The following is a 20781-nucleotide window of genomic DNA, read 5'->3' as shown; positions in this document are numbered from 1 at the left end:
CAAGAAGCCACACAGGTCCCACCCAGGGAGGCTGGCACAATCCCCACCCAGAACTTCTCTCCCCCCAGCTCCTTGCGGGGTGGGGTGGGGGTGCTGCTCTGGGCTTCTAGACTTCCAGGTCAAGGTTTTTTTTGTTTTTTTTTCACCCACTCACCTCCTGCTGACTTCCTCTGGGTCCCTGTGCTTGTTCTCTGGTTTTAATAATTGTAATGACCTTAGGAGTCACTTTTGGGACTGGGAAGCCAACACAGAAACAAATCAGATGACCAGGAATACTCCTTGTTCCCATTCGTGTGTTCCTTGGTCAGGCGTTACTTCTGCGAGTTCTACATATTTGTAGATGTCTCCGGTGTACTGGGTTTGGGAAGCCCCACTGATTAGGAATAGAATGTGGGCAAGTGATTGCCTTTTTAAAATGTCCTGAATTAAGGATCCACAAGTCTGTCAGCATGGTCTTCCCTATTTGCAATTCTAGAGAAAAAAAAAGCCATACAGGATTCGGTCAGAATTATTCAAGCGCATGTATCGTGGCTGACCAACAGGGCTGAAATTCTTTTTATGCCCAGTGTGGTATGGATGTTGTGACTGACTTCCATTCTATACAGCCATTTCCTGCCAGTCTCCATGATTTTTTATTTTCCAGTGGATACTTGCAGGCTAATGTTCCCTGTGGTTCCAGGGATGGGCACTTTCCCTTCACATTTGATATTTTTTCTCAGGATTGCCTCATCTAGCTTCATACGTCTGCAGATGACTCCCAAGCACTTTTAACTATTACCCTGGAGTCACAATATGATTCCAACCTACCTTTCCAAAATTATTCCCCCAAACTTTGTTACATTTCCTACAAACCAGCCAAACTCCAAGTTCTTGGGTCTCCCTACATCTTCTCCATGAAGGGTGAATCTGTAAGGGCCTTATTTTCAAAGACCTTATCACCCAATGGAAACATATGAAATGCACATACTTTTACTCAGTGCGAAAGAGTGGCACACAGGGTTGCAGGAGTCCAAAAGAGGGAGTGATTATGCACGCAGGAGAGGATCAGAGAATGTTCTTGCAGGAGGTGATGTGACATGAACTTTGAAGGATGGGTAAGACTCGGAAATGCAGTGATGCAGGAAAACACATGCCAAACAGAGCAAAACCCAGAAGTAGAACCAAGTGGGAAATGAACGGAGAAGACAGTGGTTCTGTTTGCCTGATGTTGGGCTGTGATGGAAAGGTAGGTTGGGAAGAACTCATGAAGCGCTTTGATTTACAGGCTCACATTTGAATTTCACTCTAGGCAGTGTGGATCCTTTGGCAATTTTGGAACAGATGAGTGGCATTGTTAGAACACTGTTTCCAAATGCTCAGCCTGGCACCATGTATTAGTCCGTTTTCACACTGTTGATAAAGACATACTAGAGACTGGGCAATTTACGAAAGAAAGAGTTTCATTGGACTTACAGTTCCACGTGGCTGGGGAGGCCTCACAATCATGGCAGAAGGCAAGGAGGAGCAAGTCACATCTTACGTGGATGGCAGCAGGCAAAGAGAGGGCTTGTGCAGAGAAACTCCCATTTTTAAAACCATCAGATCTCGTGAGACCCATTCACTATCACGAGAACAGCATGGGAAAGACCCACCCTCATGATTCAATCATCTCCCACCAGGTCCCTCCCATAACACATGGGGATTATGGGAACTACAAGATGAGCTTTGGTTGGGGACACAGAGCCAAATCATATCACACCACTATATGAGATTGGGGTGCATGGGGGAAGAAAGGAGAGAAATTTCTGAATTAGAGGAGTGACAGTGGGATGGAGGGTTAGAAAGGATAGGAGGTAGGATTTTTCCGGACAACGGAGAGGAAGGATCCGGGGTGATCCTCAGGTTTGAGCCTGTGTGACTGGAATCCTCAGGATACTATGAACACTGTAGAGAAAAGAGGAGGCAGGTAAGCTGGGGGAATGAACTTAGAACATGTTGAGCTGGAGGGATCTCTGGGAAGTGCAAGTGGAGACTCCTCCCCCAATAACCTCAGTGTTCTGGACTCCAGGTCAGCACAGTCTAGCTTCCTCCTCCACTCCTCCTAGTTAGGACCAGCCCACCTTGATGCCCAGACTTATCTGACTTGAGGCAGTAAATAACTCAGCAGGTCTCCCTGACCCCATGAGGGCATAGAGATTAGGGCATCAATTCTGATGGACTGATCTTGAGAACCTTCCTGCCTATGTCCATCTCCTGTGTCTTACCTCACAGGACTAGCTTTTGATTGTCTCTGAAAATTAGTGGTCCCTTTCTGAGGTTCCGACTCGTATAGTCCCTCTTGGGACAGAAACCTCTGCCTCCAGGCTGGTGCTAGGGCCCTAATACTTATGGACAGAATCTAGAGTCTGAAAACTGGTTTTTAAAGATAACTTCTGAGTTTTCTATCTGTTGCATCAGCCAAGGGGACATCTTGTGGTTGCCGATTGTTGACAGTTTTAAAGCTCTGCAGGTTGGCTCAGCTCTATTGTATGCAAGGCCCAGTCCATCCCCATGCCTGTGTTGTCCTCAGGGAGGGGCCCTGGCCCTCTCTGCACTTCCAGATCCTACTTCACATTCAATATCACACCATGCGAGTGACTCCCAGGAAGTATGAGATGTCCAGCAGGTATACAACACACTCTGCATCTTGTACTCACTCGGGACCTTTGATGAAAGCATCTTGCATGCTGCGTCCCAGGTTTTTGACAATCCTGTGGATTCTCACCCTTCTGTCCCTACCTTGGTTGTAGGGAACCATGAATAGACACCTGCCTTTATGTTATACTGGAGGTCTCTGGACTGCTGGTGTTGGTGTCTTCTGTTTTTATTGCTAGCTGCATCTTGATTCGTACAGTGCCATCATCCGATTCCATGGGAGCTTCCTTTGTGTTTGTAGTTTGGGGACTGCAGAAATAAACCAAAGTTGGAGAGAGTCTTGGAGCATCTACAGCCTCCATGACTGACTTAGTTAAACATCTTCAATCACTTTCTTCTCATTCTGAAGACTTCACATAATTAAAACCATGCCCAGCCAAACGCAAAATAAATTTTGCACATGCTGCTTGAATTACTGTGCAAGCTTACCCCAGTGTGGCTTTTTCCGAGATTAATATTTCAGGAAAACTATTCCTCTGGGTAGGCTGAAGCCAGCAGCTGTGGAAACTCAACATTTGCTTTATACAATGAAACTTTAGGACAGGGCTGCTTTTCACATTTCTCAGATGTGCTTCTCATTTGGAAAAAATAAGTACTCTTGGCAAAGTCTACATGGAATGAGCCCCAGCTTGTGCTTCCGTCTATTCAGATAGGAAATGATGAGAAAATGTGGCTCTAAATGTCATCATGCAACATTGGCACTGAAAAATAATAATTGCCATTTCTTGAGCACCTATTACTCTGTGCCAGGTATCTTACAAGCCCTGCATCCTCACAAACACCCTGTGAGTGTGCCACACCTAGGTGTGTCTATCTTCTGATTCCTGCTTTGCCCTTGATAGCAGGGGCTGACCTGGAAGGCTGCCTTCCCCAGGCTCCATACCTATGGTTTCCTTCTAGAGGAAGGTTGCTGCACCTGTGGAAGGTTGCAAGGTAGTGAAAAGAGGAAACCAGAGTATTTCTTCCCTCTCTCCCTTCTTAAATCATCCCTGCCAGCAATGTCTGCATCTCCTCCATGGCTCCAGCTCCCACTATTTGTGTCCTCCATGGTTCCTGGTTCTTCCTGGTGACTCTGGCTCCTGGGCTTTGGCAACATTGCCTCCTACCTTTATGCCTTCAATTACCCACTGCCTACTATTGCTAATATCTGATTACTTCATGACCCCATCCCAAGACCTTACTCCAACTAATTTTATCTTTTTAAAGTCATACAAACTTAATTTTTTTATTTTTCATTTTTAAAAATTTTTTAATTTTTTAGTTTTCCCATTTTGCCTGATCCTTAGTAAGTATGCAAGGTTATATGAACTTAAGAAGATCTTTGTACTCTTGACTTCATTATCTATTGCAATAATCTTCAAATCTCAGCTTTTCTATCAGCTGTAACCTATATTTCTATCTTCACCACTGCCACCAATTCCCTGCGTTAAATTCCTTCTGCTGCAAATACTGAAGCAGTGTCTATTTCTTTACTTAGATGCTGATTGATGGATTGAGGTGGGAATCATTAGCCTCGTTTTAAAGATGAGGAAATGGGAAGTCAGGGAGGTTAACTAACTTGTCTAGTCTTAAAGATAGGGCATGGTGGAGCTTGGGTTTAAACCTATGCTTGGTTAATCCTGAAGCTTGTGCACTTTCTTGTATATCAGCCCATGTTCTGTTTACTGGCATCATACCAAGTTTAATTTCTTGTGTATAATCACTTCATATTCTGGAAAAAGAAAACTCTCATAGTTTTCTTCAGGATTTCCCAAGATAAAACATTTTCTATCCCTTCAGCTGTTCCTCATGAGAAAGAGGATATTTCCCCTAATATCCTGGTTGAACTTTTAGATCAATATTTCTCAAGATTTAATGTGCAGATTATGGTTCAGGAAGACTCTAAAGATTATGCATTAAAATGTATTTTTAATTAGACTTTTTTTGGAGATAATTTTAAATGTATATGCAGTTGCAAGAAATAATGCAGAGCTCCCATATTCCATTTAGCTAGTTTCCCCAGTGATGACATCGTGCAAAACTGTGCTACAATATCACAACCGGGATGTTGACATTGATACAGTCAAGATACAGAACATTTGCATCATCACAAGGATTTCTCATGTTGCCGTTTTTTAGCTACAATAACTTTCTTTCTCACCCCAATCCTTCCTTAACCTCTGAAAACTACTAATTTATTCCCTATTTCTATAATTTTGTCATTTCAAGAATGTTGTATAAATGAAATCATACAATATGCAGCCTTTTGGGATTGCGTTTTTAAATTCAGAATAATCCTCTGGAATTCATCCAGGTTGCCTTGTGTATCAACAGTTTGTTCTTTTTTTGTTGCTGAGTAGTATTACATGGTATAGATGTACTACAGTTGGTTTAAACATTTACTCTTCGAAGGATGTATGAATTATTTCCAGTTTTGGGCTATTGCAAATACAGCTGCTATAAATATTCATGTACCCAGTCCCAAAAAGTTGCATATTGTGCTCTCATTTATACAACATGCTGTCATTGACCAAAACTTCATTAATGTGGTGCAGGACTGTATTTCATTCTTTAGGCAGCAGTAAATGGTGTTGTATTTTTTAACTTTAGTGTTCACTCTTAGTATATGGAAATACAGTTGATTTTTGTAAGTTTATGTTGCCTGCAACCGTGCTGAACTCACTAGTTTTATTTTATTTTATTTTTTGTTGGTGGGAATGGAGTCTCGCTCTGTCACCCAGGCTGGAGTGCAGTGGTGCAATCTCAGCTCCCAGTGGTGCAACCTCCACCTCCCGGATTCAAGCAATTCTCCTGTCTCAGCCTCCCGAGAAACTGGGACTACAGGCACATGCCACCATGCCCAGCTAACTTTCATATTTTTAGTAGAGACAGGGTTTCACCATATTGGTCAGGCTGGTCTTGAACTCCTGACCTTAGGTGATCCACCTGCCTCAGTCTCCCGAAGTGCTGGGATTACAGGTGTGAGCCACCACACCTGGCTAAACTCACTAGTTTTAAGAGGTGTATTAGTCTGGTTTGCAGAAGGAACATCTGAGGCTGGGTAATATAAAGAAAAGATGTTTATTTGGCTCATCATTCTGCAGACTGTACAAGCATAGCATCAGCATCTGCTTGGCTTCTGGTGAGGCCTCAGGAAGCTTTTACTCATAGCGGAAGACTAAGGGACAGCAGGCATGTTGTATGGTAAGAAGGAGCAAGAGAGATGCTAGGCTCTTTTAAACAGTCAGCTCTCGCATAAAGTAATAGAATGAGAACCCACTCATTACCACAAGGGCAACACCAAGCCATTCATGAGGGATCCATCTCCATGACCCAAACACCTCCCACCAGGTCCCACCTGCAACATTGGAGAACACATTTTAACATGAGATTTGGAAGGACAATGTCCATGGCATACCTGGAGGTTTTTTGGGTAAATTCCTTGGGATCTCTATTGACAGCCATATCACCTGCAAATAGGGACAGTTTTATTTCTTCCTTTCTCATCTGTGTGTCTTTTAGTACCTTTTCTTGCCTCAAGGTAATGGTTAGAACTTACAGTGTTGTGTTGATTTAAGAGTGGGGAGGGTGGGCATCTTTACCTAGTTTCTGATCTTAAAGAGTAAACATTGAGTATTTCATGATGAAGTATAATGTTAGCTATAGGTCTTTTGCAGACGCTCTTTATCAAGTTGAGGCAATTCCCCTCTATTCATATTTTTCTGAGAATTTTTAAAAATCATGAATGGGTGTTGAATTTTTGAAAAAATTTTTCTGCTCAATTAACATGACTTTTTTTCTTTAGCCTATTACTAATGGCAGTTTATATCAATTGATTTTTGAATAAGCCTTGCATTCTTGAAATAAGCCCCATGTAGTCATGTCATAAAAAGTCATTACGAAAAAAAATCCTTTTTATACGTTCCTGAATTCTACTTGCTAATATTGTGCTAAGGATTGTTTTTATTTTATCTATGTTCCTGATGGCTTTGAGTTTTCTTTTTTTGCACTATCTTTGTCTGGGGTTGGTATCCGTGTAATGCTAGCTTCATGAAATGAATTGGGAAGTATCCCCTCTTCTCTGATTTTCTGGAAGAGATGGTGTAGAAGTGGTGCTAATTCTTCTTTAAACATTTGATAGAATTTTCTAGTGAAACCATCTAGGCCTGAAGTTGTTTTTTTTTGGAGCGGGGGGGTTAAAATTACGAATTCAATTCTTTAATAGCTATAGGGCTATTCAAATTATCTCTGTCATATTGGATGAGTTGTGGTACTTTGTGTTTTTCAAGGAACTGGTTCATTTTGTCTGAATTGTCAAACTTATGTGTGTAGGAGTTGTTCCTAGTATTTCCTTACTATTTTTTGTCATCTGCAGGGTCTGTTAGTGATATCTACTGTTTTGTTTCTGATATTGGTAATTTGTAACTTCTTTCTTTTTTGGTCAGTCTTGCTATAGGTTTGCCAATTTTATAGATTTTTTTTCAAAGACCCTCTGGTAATTTTCTTTGCTCTAAAGTCTACTTTATAGACTTAATAGATATCAATGTAGACTTGTTTTCTATTGGTTAATGGTTGCATAATATAAAAATTTTATCCTTTTTCTTTAAACCTGACAATATTGTTTTTGTGCTTTGTTTTATTTGGGGGGGAGGTGTTTTTGCTTTGTTTTGTTTTTAAGACAGGGTCTTGCTCTGTCACCAGGCTGGAGTGCAGTGGCGTGCTCTCAGCTCATTGCAACTTCTGCCACCTGGGCTCAAGCCATCCTCCCCCTTCAGCCTCCTGAGTAGCTGGGATTACAGATGTGCACCATGCCTGGCTAATTTTTGTATTTTTTGTAGAGACGGGGTTTTGCCATGTTGCCCAGGCTGGTCTCTAACTCCTGGGCTCAAGCAATCTGCCCGCCTTGGCTATAAAAAACCATGTACCAACTATACACTATAAGAAACTAACTTCATATATAACAATACTGGCAGTGGCTGGGTGCGGTGGCCCACGCCTGAGAAAATAATCAAAGAAAGGACTTTTATAGTTTCTTATAGTGTATAGTTGGGACATGGTTTTTTTTAAAAACATTTTATTTCAATAGCTTTAGAGGTACAAGTATTTTTTGGTTACATGGATGAATCGTACAGTGGTAAAGTCTAGGACTTTAGTGTACCCATCACCTGAATAGTGTGTGTTGTACCCAATGGGTAGGTTTTCATCTCTCACTCCCTCTACCCTTCCCCATTCTGAGTCTCCAATGTCTATTATATCACTGTATGCCTTTGTGTACCCATAGCTTAGCTCCTACTTGTAAGAGAACACATGGTATTTGGTTTTCCATTCTTGAGTTATTTCACTTAGGATAATGGCCTCCAGTTCTATCCAAGTTGCTGCAAAAGACATTATGTTATTCTTTTTATGGCATTCAACTGATGAATGAATTACATACACATCACATTTTCTTTATTCATTGGCTGAGGTTACTTAAGTTGATTCCATATCTTGCAATTGTGAATTGTGCTGCAGTAAACATATGTGTGCAAGTGTCTTTTTATATAATCATCTCTTTTCCTTTGGGTAGATACCCAGTAGTGGGATTGCTTCATCAAATGGTAGATCTACGTTTAGTTATTTGAGAAATCTCTATATGGTTTTCCATAGAGGTTGTTCTAATTTACCTTCCCATCAGCAGTGTATAAACAAGAGTTCCCTTTTTTTTTTTTTTTTTGCCATATCTATGCCATCTATTGCTTTTTGACTTTTTAATAATGGCCATTCCAGTAAGGATAAGTGATATCTCATTGTGAGTTTAATTTGCATTTCCCTGATGATAAGTGATGTTGAGCATTTTTTCATATATTTGTTGGCCATTTGTATATCCTCTTTTGAGAAATTTCTATTTATATCATTTGCCCACTTTTTAATGGGATTTTTTTTTCTTGCTGATTTGTTTGACTTCCTTGGAGATTCTGGACTGATCTTTGACAAGGCACACAAAAACATAAACTAGGGAAAGGATACCCTATTTAGTGGATGGTGCTGGGAAAATTGGATAGTCACATGTAGAAGAATTAAACTGGATCCCTATCTCTCACCATGTACAAAAATTAAGTCAAGATGGATTAAAGACTTAAATATAATATCTGAAACCATAAGAATTCTAGAAGAAAACCTAGGAAAACTATTTTAGACATTGACCGAGGCAAAGAATTTGTGACTAAGACCCCAAAAGCAACAGAAACAAAAGAAATAAATGGAATCCAATTAAACTAAAAGGCTTCTGCAGAAAAAAAGAAATATTAACAGAGTAACAAACAACCTACAGAATGAGAGAAAATATTTGCAAACTATGCATCCAACAAAGGGTCATTTTTAAAATCCACTTTGCCAATAGCTATCTTTAATTGGTGTATTTAGATTATTTACACTTAATGTCATTACTGAGATGTTAGGGCTGATGTTTGCCATTTTGTCTTTTGTCTTCTGCTTTTTGTTTGTTTGTTCCTCTGTTTTCTTTTTTTAGTTACTTGAACATTGTTTTAGAATTCCATTTTGATTTGTTCGTAGTGTTTTTAAGTGTATTTCTTCATATAGTTTTTCTAGTGGTTGCTCCAGGTGTTACTACATATATATATTTACCATCTGCTGGTGCCATTTCACCAGTTTGAGTGAAATATAAAAACCTTACCATGCTTTGCTTCCCTTTGCCCTACTCCAAAGTGGGTCTTAAATATTTCCTTTACATACATTAATTTTTCATTTTAACTTAATTTTATTTTATTTTTGAGACAAAGTCTCTCTCTGTTGCCCAAGCTGGAGTACCGTGGCACAATCATAGCTCACTGCAGGCTTGAATTCCTGGACTTAAGCAATCTTACTGTCTCAACATCCTGAGTAGCTGAAACTATAGGCATTTGCCACCATGCCCTGCTAAGTGCTTTTTTAAATTATTGGGAGGCTGAGGTGGGAGGATCACGAAGTCAGGAGATCGAGACCATCCTGGCTAACACAGTGAAACCCCGTCTCTACTAAAAATACAAAAAAATTAGCCGGGCGTGGTGGCGGGCGCCTGTAGTCCCAGCTACTCGGGAGGCTGAGGCAGGAGAATGGCGTGAACCTGGGAGGCGGAGCTTGCAGTGAGCCAAGATCGCGCCACTGCACTCCAGCCTGGGCAACAGAGCAAGACTCCGGTCTCAAAAATAAATAAATAAATAAATAATAAAATAAAATAAAATAATAATTATTATTTTTTAGAGATTGGGGTCTCACCATGTTGCCCAGGCTGGTCAAAACTCCTGGTCTCAAGTGACCCTCCTGCCTCCACCTCCCAAATCGCTGGGATTACAGGTGTGAGCAACTGCACCTGGCTTCCTTTATATACATTCAGAACCACATCAGAAAGTGTTAACATTTTTGCTTCAACTGTTAAATACGAAAACTCATGAGGAAAAGGAAAGCCTATTGTATTTACCTATATTTGTGCTTTCTTCTTTCTTGATATCTCATGATATCTTTTTAAAATTCTTTTCTTTCTTTTTAGAGGACTTTAGTAATTCTTTTTGGGTAGGTCTGCTGGTGACAATTTCTCTTAGTTTTCCTTCATTGGAGAATGCCTGGTTTCCCCTACATCTTGAAGGGCAGTTTTGCTGGGTATGGATTCTGGATTCACAGTTCATTTCTTTCAGCCGCTGAAACATACATTGTGCTACTTACTGCCTTTTGACTTCCATGGTTTCCAATGAAACATCCTCTGTGTTCTGAATTGTTTTTTCCCTATAGCTAGGACGCCGTTTTTCTCAGGCAGCTTTCAATGTTTTTGTCTTTGGTTTTTTTTTCTTTCTTTTTTCTTCTTTCTTTTTTCTTTTTTTTTTTTTAAAGACAGGGTCTCACTCTGTCACTCAGGCTGGAGTGCAGTGCAGTGGGGCAATCTTGGTTCACTGCAGTCTCGATCTCCTAGGCTCAAGTGATCCTCTCACCTCAGCCTCCTGAGTAGCTGGGACCCACAGGTGCATGCCACCATACCCAGCTAATTTTTGTATTTTTAGTAAAGATGGGGTTTTGCCATATTACCTAGGCTGGTCTCAAACACCTGAGCTCAAGTAACCTGCCCACCTCGGCTTCCCAAAGTGCTGGGATTACAGGCTTGAGCCACCACACTCAGCCTATTTAGTCTTTAGTTTTCAAAAGTTTAATTACAGTGTGTCTTCACATGGATTTCTTTGGCTTTATTCCATTTGAGATTTGCTCAGCTTCTTGAATCTGTAAGTTCACGTTTCTTGACAAATTTGGATTTTTTAAAGCCATTATTTCTTTGATTACTTTCTCAGTTCCTCTTCTTCCTCTTTCATTCTGGAGCTCCAGTGACACAAATGTTAGGTCTTTTGTAATAATCTCACAGGTCCCTAAGATTCTGTTCATTTTTTTTCCAGTCTATTTTTCCTCTGTAGTTCAACTAAGTAATTTCTATCATTCTGTCTTTCAGATCACTCATTGTTTCATCTGCCTCCTCCATTTACTATCAAGCCCATCTGTTTATTTTGAGCTTTTTATTTTGGTTATTGTATTTTTTTACTGTGTGGAATGTACTTAATAAACGTTGGCTTTTATTATTGTTGTTAATAAAAATAAACATAACCTTTTCTTTTAATTACCAGACCTACAATACCAAGTTTCACTCACATAAACACTGGCTGTGTTACAAGTATTTCCTTATTCAATTCCTTTATTCCTTTAGTTCTTTTCATACGCCAAGTGTCCTGTCCTTTCTTTATTTTAAAATGTTTTTTATTTCAATCGTTTTTGGGGAACAGTTGCTGTTTAATTACATGGATAAGCTTTTTTTTTTTTTTTTTTTTTTTTTTTTTGAGACAGAGTCTCACTCTGTCACCCAGGCTGGAGTGCAATGGCCTGATCTCGGCTCACTGCAAGCTCTGCCTCCTGGGTTCATGCCATTCTCCTGCCTCAGCCTCCCGAGTAGGTGGGACCACAGGCACCCGCCACCACACCCGGCTAATTTTTTTGTATTTTTAGTAGAGACGGGGTTTCACCGTGTTAGCCAGGATGGTCGCGATCTTGTGACCTCGTGATCTGCCCGCCTTGGCCTCCCAAAGTGCTGGGATTACAGGCGTGAGCCACCGCGCTCAGCCATTACGTGGATAAGTTCTTTAATGGTGATTTCTGAGATTTTGGTGCAAGTATCACCCAAGCAGTGTATACTGTACCCAATGTATAGTCTTTTACCCCTTACCCTCCTCCCAGCCTTCCCCGAAGTCCCCAAACTGCACTGTATTATTCTTATGCCTTTGCGTCCTCATAGCTTAGCTCCCACTTAAAGGTGAGAACATACAATGTATGGTTTTCTATTCCTGAGTTACTTCACTTAGAATAATGGTCTCCAACTCCATCCAGGTTGCTAAGAATGCCATTATTTCTTTCCTTTTTATGGCTGAGTAGTATTCCATCATATATAGAATATTATATATATATATAACTACATATTATTTATCCACTCATTGATGGGCATTTGAGCTGGTCCCATATTTTTGCAGTTACCAATTGTGCTGCTACAAACATTCATGTGCAAGTGTCTTTTCCATTTAATGACATTTTCCTCTGGGTAGATGCTCAGTAGTGAGGTTGCTGGATCAAATGGCAGATCTGCTTTTCGTTCTTTAAGGAATCTCTGTACTGTCGTATAGTGGTCGTACTGGTTTACATTCCCACCAGCAGTGTAAAAATGTTCTCTTTTCACCACATCCATGCCAACATCTATTAGTTTTTGATTTTTAAATTATGGCTATTCTTGCAGGAGTAAGGTGAGTACTCCTTGGTTATGTATATTCCTAAATACTTTATTTTTGTTTTTGCAGCTATTGTAAAGGTGACTGAGTTCTTGATTTGATTCTCAGCTTAGTCACTGTTGGTGTATAGCAGTGCTATTGATTTGTATACATTGATTTTGTATCCTGAAACCTTACTGAATTCATTTATCAGTTCTAGGAGCTTTTTGATGAGTCTTGAGGGTTTTCCAGGTATATGATAACATCATCATCAAACAGTGACCATTTGACTTCCTCTTTACCAATTTGAATGACCTTTATTTCTTTCTGTTTCTGATTGCTCTGGCTAGGACTTCCAGTACTATGTTTAATTGAAGTGGTGAAAGTGGGCATTTTTGTCTTGTTTCAGTTCTCAGGGGGAATGCTTTCAACTTTTCCACATTCAGTATAATGTTGGCTGTGAGTTTGTCATAGATGGCTTTTATTACCTTAAGGTATGTCCCTACCATGCTGATTTTGCTGAGGGTTTTAATCGTAAAGAGATGCTAGATTTTGTCAAATTTTTTTTCTGCATCTATTGAGATGATCATATAATTTCTGTTTTTAATTCTGTTTATGTGGTGTATCACATTTATTGACTTGTGTATGTTAAACCATCCCTGTATCCCTGGCATAAAACCCACTTGATCATGGTGGACTATTTTTTTTGATATACTGTTGGATTCAGTTAGCTAGTATTTTGTTGAGGGTTTTTGCATCTATGTTCATCAGGCATATTGGTCTGTAGTTTTCTATTTTGTTACGCCTTTTCCTGGTTTTGGTATTAGGCTGATACTGGCTTCATAGAATGATTTCAAAAGGATTCTCTCTTTCTCTATCTTTTGGAATAGTTTTAGCAATATTGGTACCAATTCTTCTTTGAATGCCTGATAGAATTCAGCTGCCAATCCATCTGGTCCTGGATTTTTTTTTTTATTGGCAACTTTTTTGTTATTGTTTCAATCTTGCTACTTGTTATTGATCTATTCAGAGTTACTGTTTCTTCCTGGTTTAATCCAGAGAGGGCTGTGTATTTCCAGGAATTTATTCATCCCCTCTAGATTTTCTAGTCTGTGCGCATAAAGGTGTTCATAGTAGCCTTGAATGATCCTTTGTATTTCTATTGTATCGGTTGTAATATCTCCTGTTTCTTTTCCAACTGAATTTATTTGGATCGTCTCTCTTCTTTTCTTGGTTAATCTCATGAATGGTCTAACAATTTTGTTTATCTTTTCAGATAATCAGCTTTTTGTTTCATTTATCTTTTGTATTGTTTTTTGTTTATTTCAATTTCATTTAGTTCTGTTGCGATCCTTGTTACTTCTTTTCATCTCCTATGTTTTGGGTTTGGTTTGTTCTTGTTTCTCTAGTTCCTTAAGGTGTGACCTTAGATTGTCTATTTGAGCTCTTTCAGATTTTTTGATTTAGGCATTTAATGCTGTGAAATTTCCTCTTAGCACCACTTTTGCTGTATCCAGGGGTTGTGATAGATTGTTTCATTATTATTCAGTTCAGACAATTTTTAAATTTCCATCTTTATTTCATCGTTGACCCAAAGATCATTCAGGAGCTGATTACTTAATTTCCATATATTTGCATGGTTTTGAGGGTTCCTTTTGGAGTTGATTTACAATTTTATTCCACTGTGGTCTGAGAGAGTAGTCAATATAATTTTGATTTTCTTAAATTAATTGAGACTTGTTTTGTGGTCTATCATATGGTCTATCTTGAATAATGTTCTGTGTGCTGATGAATAGAATGTATATTCTGTTGTTGTTGGGCAGAATATTCTGTAAATATCTGTTAAGTTCCTTTGTTCTAGGGTATAGTTTAAGCACATTGTTTCTTTGTTGACATTCTGTCTTGATGACCTGTCTAGTGCTGTCAGTGGGGTATTAAAGTTCCCCACTATTATTGTGTTGCTGTCTATCTCATTTCTTAGGTCAGGTGGTAATTGTCTTATAAATTTGGGATCTCCAGTGTTGGGTACATATATATTTAAGGTTAGTGTTAGGGTTAGGGTTTGCTGAACTACCGTGCTCCAGGCTGGTACTGGGGAGTGTCTGCAAATAGTCCTTTGATGCGATCTATCTTCAGGTCTCTCAGCCATGGATACCAGCACCTGTTCTGGTAGAGGCAGCAGTAGAGTGAAGTGGATTCTGTGAGAGTCCTTGGTTGTAGTTTTGTTTAGTGCATTGGTTTTCTTAAGTGCTGGTTATGCTTATAGTGAAGTTGTCACACAGACAGATTCAGGACCTCTGGTTAGCCAGGATGTTACAGATAGTGAAATTAGCTGTTGTTTTCTCCTTTCTTGGAGCAGGGTTGTTCTGTCATGAGTTACTGTAATGGCTTGAGTTGGTTGCCCTCCAGCCAGGAGCTTTCAAGAGAGCATCAGCTGTGGTTATATTGGGGGATGCAAGCTTGCCCTAAGGTCACCTGGATAACTTCGGGTTTCTCAGGCAATGGGGGGTGCTATAGAGCTCCTGCAAGTTTATGTCTTTTGTCTTCAGCTACCAAGGTGGGTAGAAAAAGACCATCAGGTGGGAGTAGGGCTAGGTGTGTCTGAGCTCAGACTCTTCTTGGGTGGTGCCTGCAGAGACCACCTGGGGGGACGGGGCAGTGGTTCTCAGGCCAATGGAGTTATGTTCCAAAGGGGATTATGGCTGCTTCTGATGTTTCATACAGATTGCCAGGGAAGTCGGGGAAAGCCGGCAGTGACAGACCTCACCCAGCTCCCACACAGCCAGCAAGGCCAGTCTCACTCCTGCCAACAGCCAACAGAGCTGAATTTATTTACAGGCCTCTGGTGCACAGGGCTGAGATCTTGCCCCAGGCTACAAGCCTCCCTGCTGAGAAAGCAAGCAGGGCTTTCAGGCCTCACCCCTCCCTGACTGCCACAGCTTCTGTGCTCATCTGCACCTCCTATTCGCCTCCACCCCTCAGATTCTGCCTAGGAATCTGAGGAAAATTCATACTTGATCAAAATTATTACAAAGTTCAGCTGCAAGTCTCTTTCTCCCCGTGGCCCTTCCCCAATTCCACTGGCTGCCATCCCCTAGGAACCCTGTGAGATAAAGTGAGAAATGGCTTCGCTGGGCTTCCCTGGGGATCAGGAGTGCCTACAGGGCACTTCCCACTGCTTCTTCTACTTTTATATTTTGCTCAGCTCTCTAAATTCATTTCAGCTCTAGGTAAAGTTAAATCCTTCTTCCATGATCTAGATTTCCAGGTTCCCCAGTGAGGATGTATGTTCAGAGGCAGACTTTCCTCCCCTCACTTCGGGCACTGACTGTGTTTTTGGCTGTTTCTTGGAGTTTGCAGTGGCAAGCCACTGCTTTCAAAGGGTTTGTGAATTCTTTCAGTTGCCCTGGTATGTTCCTGTGGTGGTTCTTGGAGCAAAATTTCACAATGTGAGTCTCCAAACACTCCTCATTATTGTATTTTTTTAATCATAAAATTCTATTTTTTCCTTATATCTTCTCTTTATTTGCAGAGACTTTTTATTTCTTTGCTGAGGCTTTTAATTTCTTTATTTGTTTTAAGCATGTGCATAATTGCTTGTTGAAGTATTTTTAAAATCATGGTGTTTAAAAATCTTTGCCAGATAATTCTATTATCCCTATCATCTTAGGGTTCACATCAATTGATTGACTCCTCCTTACTGCTGGATGGGGATGGGAGTTCTGGATCCCATGTGGTCTCCACAGATGTGGGGCTCGTAACCACTGGTAGTGATGAGAGTCCTGACTAGGCTGCCTCTGACACCCCAGTGGAGAGGGGGAGGGGGAGGAGGATCTAGTTATTTCTAGGAGGGGGCGGATGTCCAGGCTTCCCATGTAGTCCTTACTGATATTGCCAGGGAAGGTAGCTCATTACTAGCAATCTCAGATGAAAGTCTCATCTCTCCCCTTGTGCCTTCTCTGACATCACTCTGGCAAGGGTGTTGGAGTTTCTTGCTATGGTCTCTTAAGGGTGAAAGTCTAGGCTATCTACCCAGGCTTTGCTGGTGTGGGTGTGGGTGTGGATGAGGCCATGGGTTTTTTGTTTTTTAAAATGATGTTTGGCTAAAGTAGAGTGGCTATTGTCTAAGAGTTTTCTGTCTTGCTAGAACACTCCTTTCCTGGTCCTCTGGCTAGAGAGAGCAGGCATTTGTTGGGAGTCTGTTTGTCTGCACCAGTTGTGTTGGGTTTCTGGATTGCTGGCTTCTTCAGCTACCTCATCTCCTTGGTTCTTAGTGTGCATTATCCTTTACCTGGACTACTGAGTTGAACCCCCAACAAGTCTTTCAGACCATCTCTGGCTTCTCCAACACATCCTGCACACTTCTGCCAGTGTTTTCTTCCTACAAGGCAGAACTGACCATGTCACTCTCCTGTTAATATTATTTACTGTCCATAAAATAAAGCTCAACCTCTGTAAGGCACTGCAGATCCACCAAAATGCAATTCCATCTTTGCCTTTGCAGCTTTGACTTCTGTTCAATTTCTCTGCCTATCCCTTTGCTCCTGTGCTAAAGATGTGTCGTGTACTTTAGCTCCTGCTCTTCCTTCTGTCTCCAGTGCTTTTCTTTACTCTAGCAAAGTATAGTTTCAAAGTTAAGAGCACTGGAGTTGGACTGACTAAGTTTAAATTCCAACTTTACCATTTTCTAGCTAGGTGATCTTAGGCAACTTTACCTCTCCATAGCTCAGTTTTCCCATCTGAAAAACAAGGATAATAGCATCTACCTCATGGGACTGTTATGAAACTTAAATTAAGTAGCACTTAGCAAATTATCTGGTTGAAGAGAAAGGTCTCAAAAAATGTGGACTATTAGTATAATTCCTTATTAAATTAATACTCAGTAGTTAAATTAATATGCAGTTGCTCAACATTCAATTTGAATGTTACCTCTCTATGAAGTCTTTATGGGTCCTCTGCATTGCTACCTTATTATTGAAATTAATTATTCTTTTCCCAACTGTCCACTTAATTTACATCGCATTTACATTTGATTCTGTTTGCAGTGCAGGTAGGTAGATCGCTGACCACATTTGCTCATTTCTGGATTATTCATTCAAAGGAAGCACTATGAGTCAATCATTGGGCACAGAGGTGAGTAAGATGTGGATCTTCCTTCAGAGAATTCTCAATTCCTTAGTAGCTGCAGATTGCTTGCTAAATAAACGGTTCTGGTGGGGCTTAATAAATATTTATTGATTTAAGACAAGCAAGCTCTGCCTTGGGATAGGAAGGTAGGCAGCCTCCAGGCTAAACAGCATCACAGTGTGTTAAAGTTAGAAACTTTTTGTGAACCACCCTTGGTACTGACCTCTGCATAGTGCTAAGTGAAGGCTTCAGGCTCTGTGTTAGAGCCCTGCTGTAACAGCATTGGTATTCCTGTGGTCTGTGGCCACCACCACGTAAGTCTTGACTAGGACCATATCATTTCTTAACCCTGGTCCTTTTATGTTCAAATCAAGACAAAGATTTTTCTTGAGGTCTCAGGAGTTATATCAGTGTCATTGAGGACATTGTTCATTCTGTTTTAAGGCCCATGTCTGACAATCTTAGCCTCACACACCTTGACTCCCATCATTGAGACAGAATTTGTTTTAAAGCACTTATGTGCCAGGAACTGTGTTAGCTACCACAAATGCAGAAGGATGGAACACAAGAGCCCCCTCAACAGCCAGGAGCTCATAGTCTCCATGCTGGAGCAATCGTTAGAAGCACAAAGCTGATTGTTTCACTATGGCCACCTTACCAACAATGCTTTGGTAGACAGGCTGGATAGGAAGCCAGATATTTTAGGCCAAGGAGGGACTGATGGAAGAAATGGAAAGAGGAAATATAAGTTCCTATGAAGATGTATGGCTGTGAAGGGAAGTAGAATGGGTGATAAGAAACCACAGTGGAGGTTGAGCAAAGGGAAGATTGCTTAAAGGTGGGGGAAATTAGGTAAGTTTATAGTAGATAAAAGGAGATAAGGGCAGTAGATCAAAAGATAGAGAGATTGAGATAGTGATTTGGAAAGAATAAGCAAATATTTGAGAAAGAACAATAGATATTCATGTACACATACATATATACATGCGTGCATACATACATATATACATTGTATATTTATATATGTATGTATATAAGTATAGAATGTATATATGTATGTGTGTTTATATATATGCATTTTGTATATGGGGCAAGAAGGTGAGGAGAAAATGAAAGACTAAAATTTTGAGAAAGAGAATTATACATATATATGTAATCACTCTATATACATATTATCTATTTATCTACCTACCTGTCTATCTATCAATCCATCTATCTGCCTACCTATTTATATAGAGAGATGGAGATCAGCCAGAAAAGGGAAAGTCAAAGAAGAATCATTCATTAATGGAACCATGTCCTGTAGGAAGAAGGAGGAAATAATTTGAAAGCACAGGTGAAAATTCCTTAGAGACAGAAGGAAGGAAGGTCAGAATGAGATGGAAGGGAGGAAAGTTAGAGTTCATGTAGGGTGCCCTCTATTTCTCTGGAAAGCTGAGAAGATGGAATGAGAAGATTGAAGAATGAGAAAGTGAGAAAGTAAGATGTCAGGGACATACATGTAAGCTTTCCTAGCAGCACTGGGGGCCTCCATTGATTTTGTAAACTCAGCATTTGCAATGCTGCAAATATGAATGATTATATTTTTTCAGAAGCACTAGCCTGTAGGGAGGAGAGCAAGCAGGTGAGGGTTGGAGTGCTTTGGGAGTTAGGCGTGAGGTTGAGGAGAGGGCAGCAGAAGGGTCCTGGTGAGAGCAGCATGTAGTGTAGTTGTAGTAGCCAGGCTGTGCAGAGAAAAGATGAATCTAGGATGACAGTGATAAACTGAGTGAGCAGGGAGGGGATGAGAAGATAGAAGCCTCAGAGAGCTTGGGGAGCACGTTTACTTTGATTCAGGTATGGAGAGTGCATAGCAGTATTCTCAGCTAATAAAGATATACTCAGCTAATAAAGCAGATTCTAGCTGCTAATAAAGATATACCCGTGACTGGGTAATTTATAAAGGAAAGAGGTTTAATTGACTCACAGTTCTGTATGGCTGGGGAGGCCTTAGGATCATGGTGGAAGGGGAAGCAAACATGTCCTTCTTCACGTGGCAGCATCAAGAAGTACTGAGCAAAAGGGGGAAATGCCCCTTATAAAACCATCAGATCTCATGAGAACTCACCCACTATTAGGAGAACAGAAGCATGGGGGTAACTGCCCCATGATTCAATTACCCCCCAGCTGGGTCCCTCCTACAACAGTTGGGGATTATAGGAACTATATTACAAGATGAGATTTCAGTGGGGACACAGCCAAACCACATCAGAGAGGTAAGATAGAGGTTCCGATTGGAGAGTGAGATTTCTCAGTGTGAGTCATTCATCCAGCAAACAGTCCCTGAGCATTAGCTCTATGCACTTATTGTGGGAAACTCTGAGAACAAAGATAAGAATTAAGGCATGGTCCCTGCCCTTACGGAGTTCACAACCCAGTATTCAGAGGTAAAACCTTTCCAGGTGATGACAAGGTCCAGGATACATCTCTGGAAATGATTCACTGTGATGGTTGGGAGGGGAAGGTTGATGGGGCAGTGGAAGCCAAGTGGCTGGCAGGCTGGCATGTTAGATGTATCATCCCCAGGTGCTTATCAGTGCTACAAAGAAAATCGGGGTTTCTCTCAGCTCAGTTATTTCTCTGGGGCCATGTGTATCCTCTCCCCAGCCGGTGATATAAGGACTGTTTTTCCATTTGAGCTTTTGCTCTTCAGACTCCCTGTGACTGTCCTAGGGTCAGTGCCTGATAGTTTTCACCAGTGTAGAGTGGAAGGTCAATGGGCCTCAAAGACCTACTTCTGCACTTTGGTACATGAGTCTGTAGACAGTTACCCATCCCATGCTTCCAGTTTCCTTTTCTTTCTTGCCCTTATTTTCTTGACCTGTAAAATTAACGTAGGATAGTGACACCAATCCATTTTGGGGAAGAAATAGCTGAGATGTGTCTCTATAAAGTAATCAATAAGCAGAAGTCGGAAGCCACAGTAGTTGGAAGGGTGTGATGATGACGAATGAATGAGTGTGCACACGTGAAGTGGGGACAGCTCAATGCTCAGAGCTCCATGACTGATTTCATTCTTCCTGCAAGCTTCTAAGTGAAGCTAGACACAGAGAGGAGATTTCCTACCTGGGCCTAGCAGAGGCCTTGACACTTTAGCAAGGAAGGCATAGGGTGTCGGAATCTACATATCAGCATTTCCAGGATTCTAGTTCCTACAGAGCTGTGTGAGACTTCATTTCATGGCCCATCTGGGCATTGC

General features: G+C 40.8%; 1 protein-coding gene and 1 long non-coding RNA gene across 5 annotated transcripts in view, besides 2 other annotated features; one reads left to right on the top strand and one right to left on the bottom strand.

Annotated features, from left to right (window-relative positions):
* The window catches only part of EVA1A (eva-1 homolog A, regulator of programmed cell death), a 77402-nt gene that overhangs the window by 26059 nt on the left and 30562 nt on the right, over nt 1–20781 (top strand). For 2 of the 4 annotated variants that reach the window (NM_001369524.1, NM_001369525.1), the window contains one exon: nt 17462–17549. The exons of the other annotated variants lie outside the window; for them this stretch is intronic. The gene's annotated coding sequence lies outside the window, so the exon portion shown is untranslated. The remainder of the gene's footprint in view (nt 1–17461; nt 17550–20781) is intronic. 4 annotated transcript variants of the gene reach the window in all.
* On the bottom strand, nt 955–19593 carry EVA1A-AS (EVA1A antisense RNA). The gene is made up of 3 exons (NR_110281.1): nt 19510–19593; nt 2791–2922; nt 955–1923 (listed from the first exon to the last, which is right to left on the bottom strand). It is a non-coding gene; the product is annotated as an EVA1A antisense RNA (long non-coding RNA).
* Nucleotides 14647–15172: an enhancer, noted in NCBI's record as "NANOG-H3K27ac-H3K4me1 hESC enhancer chr2:75755615-75756140 (GRCh37/hg19 assembly coordinates)". NCBI's record gives its function as "activates a minimal SCP1, AML or CMV promoter by ChIP-STARR-seq in primed H9 embryonic stem cells {active_cell/tissue: H9 hESC(primed)}" and the evidence as "EXISTENCE:reporter gene assay evidence [ECO:0000049][PMID:30033119]".
* Nucleotides 19390–20589: an enhancer, noted in NCBI's record as "CDK7 strongly-dependent group 2 enhancer chr2:75750198-75751397 (GRCh37/hg19 assembly coordinates)". NCBI's record gives its function as "activates an origin of replication core promoter dependent on BRD2, BRD4, P300/CBP, MED14 and CDK7 cofactors, with strong dependence on CDK7, by STARR-seq in HCT116 cells {active_cell/tissue: HCT116}" and the evidence as "EXISTENCE:reporter gene assay evidence [ECO:0000049][PMID:35650434]".

The sequence above is a fragment of the Homo sapiens genome, chromosome 2, assembly GCF_000001405.40.
Source record: "Homo sapiens chromosome 2, GRCh38.p14 Primary Assembly".
In the NCBI taxonomy this organism is placed as follows: Eukaryota; Metazoa; Chordata; class Mammalia; order Primates; family Hominidae; genus Homo; species Homo sapiens.
The sequence above is the reverse complement of the archived record's forward strand: the minus strand, read 5'-3'. Positions and strand labels throughout refer to the sequence as shown.